The 13,063-nt window shown below is 39.5% G+C and overlaps 1 protein-coding gene across 66 annotated transcripts in view; it reads right to left on the bottom strand.

Annotated features, from left to right (window-relative positions):
- Nucleotides 1-13,063, bottom strand: part of ANK2 (ankyrin 2) — a 678,115-nt gene that overhangs the window by 195,283 nt on the left and 469,769 nt on the right. The window lies entirely within an intron of this gene.

The raw sequence follows: 13,063 nt of genomic DNA, 5'->3' as shown, positions 1-13,063 counted from the left end.
ATAAGTAGAAGAAATGTTGTCTTAAGAGTTGGTTTGTAAATAGAACCTAATAATATGTGGATCTTTCCATCTAGAAAGCAGAGTGGATGCTTAAGGAGGCATGACTAGAACCTTCCTAAGTATTAGAAGCTTTCCTGTGTCCCATAGGACTATAAATTATCTAAAAGAAATTATAACAATTAATTAGAAACTTCATAGCCAAAATCAAAAGGAATATACTTGTTAGTACTTGTCCAGAATTTGTCCGTCCATCTACTCTGATGTGGGTGAAATAATCATTTGTGGCTAGCCTAACTTTGCTAACCAAATTCTATGTAAATATAACCATCAGAGCCATAATTTGGTTTCCTAAATGAGTGTGCACAACACAATTGATTTTCATATGTATCATCTGAGGACCCAATCGTCTCCTTTTAAAGTAGAGAAGTATGTTGTGAAGATTATACATATGTACATATGTATATACGCACACACACTATGTAACACATACACTGTAGCACAGTGATGAGGATGTAATAGGCATGCAATAAACTATTATTTGATATAACAGGTATTATTATTTCCCACTTCATGAATGGATAATTTGAGATTCAGAATGATTTAAGTGGCTGGCCCAATATCCACTCAATCATTCATTTATCAAATATTAATTGGATATCTATTATGTGTCAATCCTGGGTCTTGTTCTTTCCAACACTGTGCTCCTGTCGTTATATGACACTGAAGCTTAAATTCTAGTTTATAAATCATTCTTTGAAATAGGTTCATGTAAGTCAGTGATAGTGTCTCTCCCTGGTAAGTTTAATTTTAACCCTGTTTATATTTGTATACTCTGTGAGCTTTTCTTTGTAAACCCCTCAAATTTCCTGTGTTGCTAAAGTTCCAAGTTCCCAGTTTGCGGGACTTGCTTTCCTGTCTGCATATTGCAAAACTGCTAGCTGGGGACACAATTGGTTAATAAGAAACTAGTGTCTTTTTTAAGATGCAAAAATTTCACTAAAAGTAGAGTTGTTAAAAAGGGCCAAAGTGACCATTAGTTTGGCATCGAGACTTATAATTCCAAGGGAACTTGAACAACAAATCTCTTGAAAAACTTCTGAGGTTACTTTGGATGAGAAACTATATTCTCAACTTTCTGATAAATGGTTTTCTCTGCCTGCTTCCCTCCTCTAACTCCCATAGGCACTGTTGCTGTCTTCCTTTATTCCTCAAAGGAAATATCACATTGCAAATTCTCTTTTTCCCAAGGGCAGTAACAGCCTTCACTGACTGCAGCAATGACTGCATACCCACTGAGGTGCAGAGATTTATTTCAAACTGTCCCCTCTGCCCACTCCAGCCTGCATAAAGAGCTTTCTTTTTTTTTTTTAAGTAATGACAGTTTAGGGGGTGGGGTGGGGTGTGGAATGGGGAAGTGTCCTTATGCCCCAAGGTGTGCCTTTATGGGCTCTTGCTCATCTGCATCTTGGTCTCTTTTATCCTACCCTGAAGACCTTTCATTTCTGAGGAAAAAGGTAAAAAATGAACTGAGTATGGGGACTAAAAACAACTGCCACATGAGGCTCTACACTTGCACATATGCAGCTTCATTCACAGACAGTTGCTCTGATCATGCCCACATCAATCTGACAACCACTGCTTAATTCTGACGAATTCTCTTCTACACAAATTCCTTTTTTTCTAAGAAGAGAATTCCCAATTTGAAGAAGTTGCCATTTTAAAATAAGGTTTCCTTTTTCTTTTCTTCTATGTATTCCATAAGAGAAGAGGCCTTGAAAAGACTAGAGATCATAGGATTTGTTTACTTCTTTACAATCATCAATACAGAGATAGAGAGTGAGTGAGGGAGAGAGAGAGAGAGAGAGAAGAGAGAGAGAGAGAGAGAGAGAGAGACACGGGAAGATATCCAGGAGGGGAGGGAGGGATGGGTGGGAAAGTACTGGGAAACTTCTACAGAGGGAAGAAAAAACTGTTTAGAATCTTTTTTTCAGCCTTTTTGCCCTGGTTTTTCTTCATCTTCGTGTATTTACCTACCTTTGGTCTTTGATGTTGCTGACCTTCAAATGGGGTTTTTGTGTGGACGTCCTTTTTGTTGATGTTGATGCTATTCCTTTCTGTTTGTTAGTTTTCCTTCTAACAGTCAGGCCCCTCTGCTGCAGGTCTGCTGGAATTTGCTGGAGGTCTACTCCAGATCGTTTGCCTGGGTATCACCAGCAGAGGCTGCAGAACAGCAAAGATTCCTGCCTGTTCCTTCCTCTGGAAGTTTCATCCCAGAGGGGCACCTGCCAGATGCCAGCCAGAGCTCTCCTGTATGAGGTGTCTGTCAGCTCCTGCTGTAAGGTGTCTCCCAGTCAAGAGGCATGGGAGTCAGGGACCCACTTGAGGAGGCAGTCTGTCCCTTAGCAGAGCTCGAGTGCTGTGCTGGGAGATCCACTGCTCTCTTCAGAGCTGGCAGGCAGGAACGTTTAAGTCTGCTCAAGCTGTGCCTTCCCTATTTAATACATGGTGTGGGGAAAACTGGCTAGCCATATGCAGAAAACTGAAACTGAACCCCTTCCTTACACCTTATCAAAAATCAACTCAAGATGGATTAAAAATTTAAATGTAAGACCTAAAACCATAAGAACCCTAGAAGAAAACCTAGGCAATACCATTCAGGACATAGGCATGGACAAAGACTTCATGACTAAAACACTAAAAGCAATGCCAACAACAGCCAAAATTGACAAATGGGATCTAATTAAACTAAAGAGCTTCTGCACAGTGAAAGAAACTTTCATCAGAGTAAATAGGCAACCTACAGAATGGGGAAATAATTTGCAATCTGTTCATCTGACAAAAGGATAATATCCAGAATCTACAAGAAACTTAAACAAATTTACAAGAAAAAAACAATGCCATCAAAAAGTGGGCAAAGGATATGAACAGACACTTCTCAAAAGAAGACATTTATGTGGCCAACAAACATATGAAAAAAAGCTTATTATCACTGGTCATTAAAGAAATGCAAATCAAAACCACAATGAGATACCATCTCACACCAGTTAGAATGGCTATCACTAAAAAGTCAGGAAACAACAGATGCTGGAGAGGATTTGGAGAAATAGGAGCACTTTTACAGTATTGGTGGGAGTGTAAATTAGCTCAACCATTGTGGAAGACAGAGTGGCAATTCCTCAAGGATCTAGAACCAGATCTAGAACCAAACCATTTGACCCAGCAATCCCATTACTGGGTATACACCCAAAGGATTATAAATCATTCTACTATAAAGACACATGCACATGTGTGTTCATTGCAGCACTATTCACAATAGCAAAGACTTGGAACCAACCCAAATGCCTATCAATGATAGACGGGATAAAGAAAATGTGGCACATATACACCATGGAATACTATGCAGCCATAAAAAAGGATGAGTTCATGTCCTTTGCAGGGACATGGACGAAGCTGGAAACCATCATTCCCAGCAAATTAACACAGGAACAGACAACCAAACACTGCATCTCACTCATAAGTGGGAGCTGAACAATGAGAATACATGGGCACACGGAGGGAAACATCACACACCGGGGCCTGTTGGGGAGTGGGAGGCTAGGGGAGGGACAGCATTAGGAGAAATACCTAATGTAGATGATGGGTTGATGGGTGCAGCAAACCACCATGGCAAGTGTATACCTATATAACAAACCTGCACGTTCTGCACATGTATCACAGAACTTAAAGTATAATAATAATAATAATAAAAGAATTAATGATCAGCCATAAAACAGAATATGAGAACATCAGTTGGCAAAATCTCAGCTACTGCAAAAGGGCTGGAAGATTCTTAAAGGCACAAAGAAAATAACCAGGAGAAAAATGACTAGGCAGGAATGGCAGCTTCACCTCATCTCACACACCACCTGTGTTTGTAGTGCATACTGGAAGAATTGCAGTGAGTGCATATTTGCATTAAGATCTTTCCTCTCTTTGTCTCCAACAGCAAAAATCAAGATGGGACTCCTGAACTCTACAGACTCCTGGAGAGATTCCCTCCACTTCTTTCTCCAGATAGTTTCCACAAAGTCACAATTGCTATCTGCTTGGGACTGTCTGGGCTAAACTTATCATGTCCTCTATCCCTGTTTATGATAGTCACCAACTCCACCATCATCCCTGCAAATCTTATCCCTCTCCACTTCTGTATACCTCCTTTTCTGATTCTGTCTCCTATCACTTCCCATTTCCCAAAACTCCCACACTGATCCTTTAGAATGCATGGGTGTAGTCATTAGCAAATACTCTGGGCTAAATCTGTTCTCTAAATATCCCTTTTAAGCTTCTTGCTCTAACTAGAATCCAAAGACACTGCTTCCCTGAAGTCTACTCAAGTGATGCATACTTCACTTGAGTAGACTTCAGGGAAGCAGTGTCTTTGGATCTCGTATTCCTATTAATCACCGAACTTGGGGGAGCTCTATTTTGCTTCTTGCTTCTCACCACTCTTTTAAACTCTTTTAAACTATTTTTCTTCCTCCTCTTTTTAAACCTCCTGATGTCATCAGCCTGTATCCTCTTGATGCCATTCCTTGTCCCTTGAAGATTTTAGCTTCTAGCTCACTGCCACTTTCTCCTACATATACACAGGTGACTCTTCCAAAACTCCAGGTGTTCAGGTTCTTGAATTCCTCAATGATTCCTTCTTTTCTCTACCTTATCCGCTCACTTCCATGGTCACATTCTAGACATTTTCCTTTCCAATAATTATAAACTTCCTCTAGTATTTCAATTTTAAGCATCCAACCCTCTGAACAGCACTTACTCTCTTGCTAATCTACTCATCCAACTCCAGAAATCCTTCAATCCTTAATAGTTAGAGCCTATTCATCTTTTCACGGTGCCCACTTATCTCCTCACTTGGCATGAATCCTATGCATAGTCTTTATCGTTATTTTATTCATTACCTTATATGCATCCTCAGTTCCCTTGTGTTTCTCTAGTTCTGCCATATGTGTTTAGCTAAACCACATTCCTGGCTATATATAACTCTCCATGTGATCCCATGTCTGAATGTAGCTGCAGAAGAACACACACACATGCCACCTCCACTCACTTTAAATTCCTGATCATGATGCTCAAGCAGACCCTTCATGCTGCCTGCCAATCATACTGTCTTACCCTCAACTGCTATCTCTCCCACTCTCCTGGATTATTATTTCACACCTTCTCCCTCCTCCACCTCCATCCCCTCCTCTCCTATCTTTACTCTCAGCTGATAACCTAGAATCATATTTCGCTGAAAAAAACAGAAGCAATTAGAACTTCCACCCCACAACCAGCTCCCAGCACGGCACCCACACCACTTCCTGCTCCTCTGCCCATACATCTTTCCTTTTCCTGAACTATCCACGATTCTAGCAAAAGCCAGTCCCTCCACTTGTGCACCAAGCTCCATCCCCACTTCTCATCAACTCAAGGACACCATCCAGTAATTCTCCCATCTCTCTCTCAAATTATTTATTTTTCCTTCCCTGTTGATATTTTTCCATCAACAAAACAAAGCTATTATTTCTTTCCTATTACAAAGAAAGCCTTCTTGATTCCACTTCCTCTTCCAGCTACTTTTCTTATTCTCTTCTTTCTTTTATAGAAAGAGCCCTTGAAGCAGTCCTTGGTCTGCCCGTCATCCATTGAATGAGCTCCAGTCCAGCTTTTACCCCTCCACTCCACCAAAATTGCTATGATCAAGTCACCAGTTTCCATCACATTACTAAGGCTGTTGTTCAGTTCCTCAGCTTATTGGATCAACAGCATTTTACAGAGTTTATCATTTCATCCATCTGAAAATAATGTTTTCACTTGGCTTCTAAGAAATCACAACTTCAGGTTTTCCTCCTACATCCCTGGACACTCTTTCCCATTCTCCTTGATGGCTTCTCATCTTCCTGACCTCTAAATATTGTAGTACTCCAGGGCCAAGCCCCTGAACCTATTCTATTTTTCATAAACTCTCTCTCTTTTGGTGACCTCATGCAGTAACACGGTTTTGAATACTATCTATACACTGGGTATGCCAAAATGTACACTTCAGGCCAAAATCTTTTTTCTGGACCCTAGAAAATTCATATATCCAACTGCCTACTGAATATCTTGGATATCACACAAACAAATCAAACTTAACATGTTCAAAACTGACCTGCTGAGTATTCCCTCAAACCTGCTCCTCACACAGTCTTCCCCATCTCAGTTAATAAAACTTCAGCTCTCATTCTTTCCATTGTGACCTCAACCCTCATGCCTAATTCCTCTTTTGCCTTCATCCTACATTAACTCCATCAACAAAATCAGCTGTATTTTTGAAATGTGTCTAGAATCCAGCCACGTCTCACCAATTCTCCTGCCTGTTGCTCTACTGTAAAACACCTCACTTCTCACCTAAAGTATCACAAAAGTGTTCCCTGCTTCTGCCCTTGTTCCCTTTCAGCCTGAGCCTTACTATTAAGACTCGTCAGCGTATGTCACTCTTCCACTAAAAACCCTCTAATCACTTCTCTGCTCATTCGGAATTAAAGCCAAAGTCCTTAAAATAGCCCACAAGGCCTTACATGACCCAATGCTGCTTTCTGCTCTCCCCAACCTCCTCCTACGCTTCCCCTCCCTCATTCTACTCCAGGCAGGCTTGCTTCCTTGCTGGCCCTTGAACATGCCAGCATGCTCCTTCTGTGCGGTTCTCTCACCTGTCAAGCCTTCTTCTAAAGTGTGCTCCCTCCACAGCATGCACGGCCTCCTTGCTCAATTTCTTTAGGTTTTCTTCTGTCCATCCCCTCTAAAGTGACACACCGCTCCCATTCCACCCCTCTCTCCTTCTCCCCTGCTGTATTTTCCTCCATATCACTTACTGCCTTTTCTTCTCTCAGGTTGTAGATTGTGAGCTTTATGAGAGCAGAGTTTTTGTCTCTCTGCACTGCTCCATCCCCAGCACCTAGGACAGAGCCTGCCACTGAGTAAACACACAATACATGTTTGAGTAAGTAGATGAACAAATAGCGTGCCTGAGTTCAGACCGGCAGAAAAAAATGCTGCGATTCTACTATCTAAGATGAGCTAGGAAGAGTGGAGTGGCTGCTTGGAGTCAGATATTAAAATCCATGTCGCTTAGCCATAGAAAGAGAGTGTTCAAGAGAATTTCCAGATTATAAAGTGTTCTGTTCCGATCTAAACCACTGCGGAGAGTACTTAATAAGACAGTCATAGAAATAATTTGCATGAAGCTACTCCCAGCATTTTTAAAATGAAAGAAGAGTCACATTTCGAAATCTTCATAAACCTGCCTAATTGTAAACAGAATGAAGTTTTTAGAGCTGGGGGCAAGTAGTTGATGAAAACTCTCTACTGGATTTACTTTACATTGAGCAAATATCAACAAGTAAACTAAAATTTCTAAGTACTCAAAATATTAGACAGGTGTTACTCAATTCTAACCTGAATCAGCACTACCCAGTATAGAGCAAGGACCAGCACTGATGCATCGAAAGAGATTACAGGATGGCACAGAATCCAAAACCACATAACCAGAACCAGATGGAAACATCACCTTTTGCTTCTTCTAAATGAGGGGTCAATAATAAGCATTTAGCTATATAGTTATATTTTTGCATATATATTTGTGCCTAATTTAACTGGTTAGAAAACTGCATATAGCTCATTCCATGTTCCATTAATTCCATGAATTTAATTCTCCCCTATTCATTTTTGTTGTTTTTATAAGGTCCCAGGCTAATAGAATTGTTTTTAGTATTTTTAAAGAGAAGTCTAAACCAGATGAACCCAAATGGCATTTGTGAAAAAGATTTTAGTTCCAGATAAATATTTCAGTTTAATGCAACCCAGATAAATAGTAACTTTACCAAATTGCTACTAATCATAATTTTTTTCTATTTGGTGATACAGGCTATGGCAATACCTTTTATGTTCTGTCCTGCTTGTGCGAATCAGTGCTACTTTTGCTAAAGCTTAGGTTGAGAATCAATATAAAAAAATTACATTATTATAATAAGCATCATTTTCACAAGTATTTATTGAGTACTTGCTCTGCCAAGCATTTTGCAAACATTTCACTTAATCATCAAAACAACCCTAAAACTTCAGTGTTGTTATGCTCACTCCAGTTGAGAAAACTCAGGCCTGCAGAAGCTGACTGCCGAGGGTCACTCAGCTGGTAAGTGGGGAAAACTAGAATTTGGTTTCCAGCATCCACATTGTTAATGTGACTTCCAAATATGCTTCATGGTCTGAGTCATACTGTGTGAGCATATGCTAAAGTCATTGCTGAGTGTATCTTCTTGTTGCTAAAGGTCTGCTATTTGAGGAACATTAATATTGTTTTGAAAATGGTGCTTCGACCTTGCCTTCTGTTTATAAAAAAGGAAACACAGGATTTAACTGATAATTTTGCACCTTTAAACTCCAATGGTAAAAGGCCAAGGCCAAAATTCAGGGCATTTTAAGACCTGTTAATCACTGGTATCATATCCAGGATTGTATTAAATAAATGCTAAGTGATAGTCTTTCATTTTGAAGTCACTATAGTGAAACTAATAAATTGTATACATGATGAAACTTTCTGAAACTACTGGGGTTTTTATTGACTTGTAACTGGCTACAAACTTTTATTAAAATACTATACAGTTTATTTTTAATGTCCGAATGTTAATCTTGTTTGTAACAGTATTAAGTTATGCAGAATTACTAAATAGGGAATAGGTAAGAAAGTAAGTCTTTATGAGTTTCAGAAATAAATTGAACGCTAAGATTTATTTTCTCTTCTAAATGTACAAGAGATAATACGGTAAAAAGATGACTGGTGTAATCTTTTAAAGAAAATAAAAGTTAACCATATTAGTAATCATTTAAAAAAGAAAAATGAAAACTTGACATTCTTTTAGAGTATTTTCATGTGCCAAATTTATGAATTTTCCCCATATCATTTAAATAATTAAAAGCAAAATAGTATTTGGGAATTACATTTTAAACTTCTCATGGTAGTTGTGAAACCAATTTTATAAAGAAAAAACATTGATTCAAATTTCAGTTTAAGGAATCTTAGCACGCCAACACATGTGATATTTTTGGAAAGCTGGTGCAGCTCAGATTGCCTTTCATTGAGAAATGCAACAGAGTACAGAAAGTCCTGGTTTCTACATTACATATTGTAATGCTCCCTAGAAACTCAGGCTTAGCAGCAAACTAGAGGATACATTTTCTTTTCTTCTTTCATATGCCATATTATCTTTGAATATTGTATACTTAGAAATAGCAATAGTTTGGCTGAATAGTTGTCTCTTTTACTTTCCTGGGTATTTAGAAATCATTTCCTGTTCTATATTGTATTTGAGTTTTAGTAGAAATCCTGGTGGTGGTGCTCTTTGACTTAAAAGATCCTGTAACCACCTATGAATAAAGTTATTTTTATATTAGCAGTAGTAGATTAAAAATAAGTTTTGAGCTTTAAGATAAAGGACATCACCACTGTATTACTTTGAAGGGCAGCTCCAAATAGCTACTCAAAAAGATATCCTGCAGCAGAAAAAAGCTTGGACTTGGGACACAGACAGATCCATGTGGCCCTGGGAATGTCACTTAACCACTGTGGGCCCAGTTTCTACATTTGTAAACTTGAACTAATCCCTGTCTCACAATATTTCATCTCAGTTGACTGATAAGACATCACATGTAAAGCCCCAGCACAAAGTCTAATACACAGTAGCTAAGCAGGTAACATTAGTCACTGTATTTCCCTAATCTTTATTTAATTAATATACTGTCTTGAATAGTATTAATAAAAATACAGAACCAGCATGAGACTGCATTTACTTTGGGGAATTTTTTTTTTTTTTTTTTGAGATGGAGTCTCACTCTATCGCGCAGGCTAGAGTGCAGTGGCGCAATCTTGGCTCACTGCAACCTCCACTTCCCTAGTTCAAGCAATTCCCCCACCTCAGCCTCCCAAGTAGCTGGAATTACAGGCGCCTGCTGCCACGCCCGGCTAATTTTTTTGTATCTTTAGTAGAGACGGGGTTTCACCATGTTGACCAGACTGGTCTCGAACTCCTGATCTCAGGCAATCCACCCACCTCCTGGCCTCCCAAAGTGCTGGGATTACAGGTGTGAGCCACTGCGCCTGGCCTGTTTTATTTATTTATTTTTTTAAGAGACAGGGTCTTACTCTGTCACCCACTCAGGCTGAAGCACAGTGGCACGATCATAGCTAACTGCAGCCTGGAACTCCTGGGCTCAAGCAATCCTCCTGCCTCAGCCTCCCACTGTAATCCCAAAGTGCTAGGATTACAGGTGTGAGCCACCACACCTGGCCTTGCATTTACTTTATACCTGGCGAGTCAGGGAATTGAAGAGAATCAACCTCATATTTTGAGTGTAAGTCAATTTTAATTTGTATAATTCTTGGTGAATTATATACAGTAATTGTAATTAGAACACATGTACCTTAGAAACTCCTTTTACATTTCATAATTTAACTTAAATTGCAACCCAGGGGTATAAGCATTGAATGTATTGTTTTTATCCTGTTTTACAAGTTAGAAAAATATCACTTTCTAAAGTGAGCTGACTTCTTCAAAGTAGAGATGAAACTTGAATTTGAACCTGTGGGCTCTAAATTTTGTGTGGGCTTCATGAGATCATGTTGCCTTCTCACAGAAATAAATGTTCTTTCCTTTTATAGTGACATGTTAGTGGATGGCTGGCCACTATAAGAAAAAGCTAACTCAAGAAGCTAAGATGGTCTATAAATATGATAAGAATTGAGTATTTACTGTTGAGAGATTATTCTTTCTCAAAATAACCCTAAGACCTTTCATACAATTAATGTATTTGTTATACTTCAGTGTGAAGTAGACTTGGTTTGAAATGAACTTTCTTTTCCTTAGGTTCTCTTTTTTGGTGTTATTTATGATAAGTTTACCTAAATGAACTAACGGTTTCATTGTCTATTCTCTAGCATATTGTAAATTTAGAAAGTTAACAAATTGACATTTAGGGAGTGCATTTAATCTACTTAAAGAAACCTAAGTTTGGCCGGGCGCGGTGGCTCACGCCTGTAATCCCAGCACTTTGGGAGGCCGAGGCGGGCTGATCACGAGGTCAGGAGATCGAGACCATCCTGGCTAACATGGTGAAACCCCGTCTCTACTAAAAATACAAAAAATTAGCCGGGCGTGGTGGCGGGCGCCTGTAGTCCCAGCTACTCGGGAGGCTGAGGCAGGAGAATGGCGTGAACCCCAGGGGACGAAGCCTGCAGTGAGCCGAGATCACGCCACCGCACTCCAGCCTGGAAACCTAAGTTTACGTGAAAAGTATTAAATATTCCATATTCTGCACTATTCACAATAGCAAAGACTTGGAACCAACCCAAATGTCCATCAATGATAGACTGGATTAAGAAAATGTGGCACATATACACCATGGAATACTATGCAGCCATAAAAAAGGATGAGTTCATGTCCTTTGTAGGGACACGGATGAAGCTGGAAACCATCAGTCTCAGCAAACTATCTCAAGGACAAAAAACCAAACACCGCATGTTCTCACTCATAACTGGGAATTGAACAATGAGAACACTTGGACACAGGAAAGGGAATATCACACACCCAGGGCCTGTTGTGGGGTGGGGGGAGGAGCGAGGGATAGCGTTAGGAGATACACCTAATGTAATTGACGAGTTAATGGGTGCAGCACACCAACATGGCGCATGTATGCATATGTAACAAACCTGCATGTTGTGCACATGAACCCTAGAACTTAAAGTATAATAAAAAATAAAATAAAATAAAATAAAAATAAATAAATAAATATTTCATATTCAACTTCATAAGTATTTTATAGAATAAGTCCATATATCCATATGGGAGTTTGAATGTTCTTTCTTTCTTAAGGTAACTAATGTATCTAAAGTTCAAATTATTTGTCCAAAAGAACACAAAAAAAAATCAGATAAAATGATTCATAATGAAAAATAAGATGGAGGAATGTAGACACAACATACGAAGATTTTACATATTGGAATACAGTAATTTGGGTTTATTCCATAGGTCAGTGTTAAGAACTATGTAAAGTTCTTGAGATTTTATCTTACCAAAGAGTTAAAAACTAAACCATTACTGTTTCATAATGCTAGTAGAAGACACAAGTCTTCTGGGTGAGAAACAAAGGACGTTGTAATTCAGAGCAAAAGCAGTAGCCAAGTGTCAGCCTGCTGCTTATACCAGTTCCCTATCCCTTTCTTCCCCCATATCTAACAGGGTTGACACAAAGGACCAATGATGGATGCCCATACATGTGGGTTGTGTTAAAGAAGAACACTGACCTTGGGGGATTCATACAGGCCTGCTTTGTAGCTAGAGGGAGATATCGCCTAATCCCTCAAGGTTGCTCACTGCGAGCACCACCCTGAGAAATAGCCCAGATAAAAAGCAATCCCAAAGTCTTTCATTCTTGTTATTCCCAAAAGTATCTGCAGGACTGCTCAGGGCCACAGCAGAATGCCTTTCCCAACATTAAGTAGCTCTCAACATGTTTTCACGGTAAGAGACACACTCCCCTAAAATATGAGAAATATTGACATCAGTGACAATGCTCTTTATGCCAGTGACTCTGAAGAAGAAGGAGGGAAATCCTGTACCCTTTGCAAAAGCCTGCAGGTGATTTTGAAACAACCACCTCACTGATCTGGGAATTGGTAGCCATATAGGGTAGCCATAGAAGTTTGGGGAGGAAGGAAGTGTTGTAATCTTATTTTTATTTTATTTATCGCTCAAGGCATTATGTGGAGAATTGATCAAAGTGGACAAGATTGAAGACAGAACCTAGTAAGAAGGCTGTTATGACAACTCTGTTAAGTACCACAAGGTGATCCGAGCTCATGTAATCTGGATGCAGAAGGTGAACAAAGAGAGGAGTGCTGGGCTGGAGAGGGGGAAAGATGAGGAACGGGAAACAGTTGGGTTGGAATGGCACATTGGTGAGGAAATCAGCAGGTAGGAATTAGGGAGTACAATAAGTTTGA

This window comes from Homo sapiens, chromosome 4 (genome assembly GCF_000001405.40).
Source record: "Homo sapiens chromosome 4, GRCh38.p14 Primary Assembly".
Lineage (NCBI taxonomy): Eukaryota > Metazoa > Chordata > Mammalia > Primates > Hominidae > Homo > Homo sapiens.
Note: the sequence above shows the minus strand (reverse complement) of the source record. Positions and strands in the feature narration are given on the sequence as shown.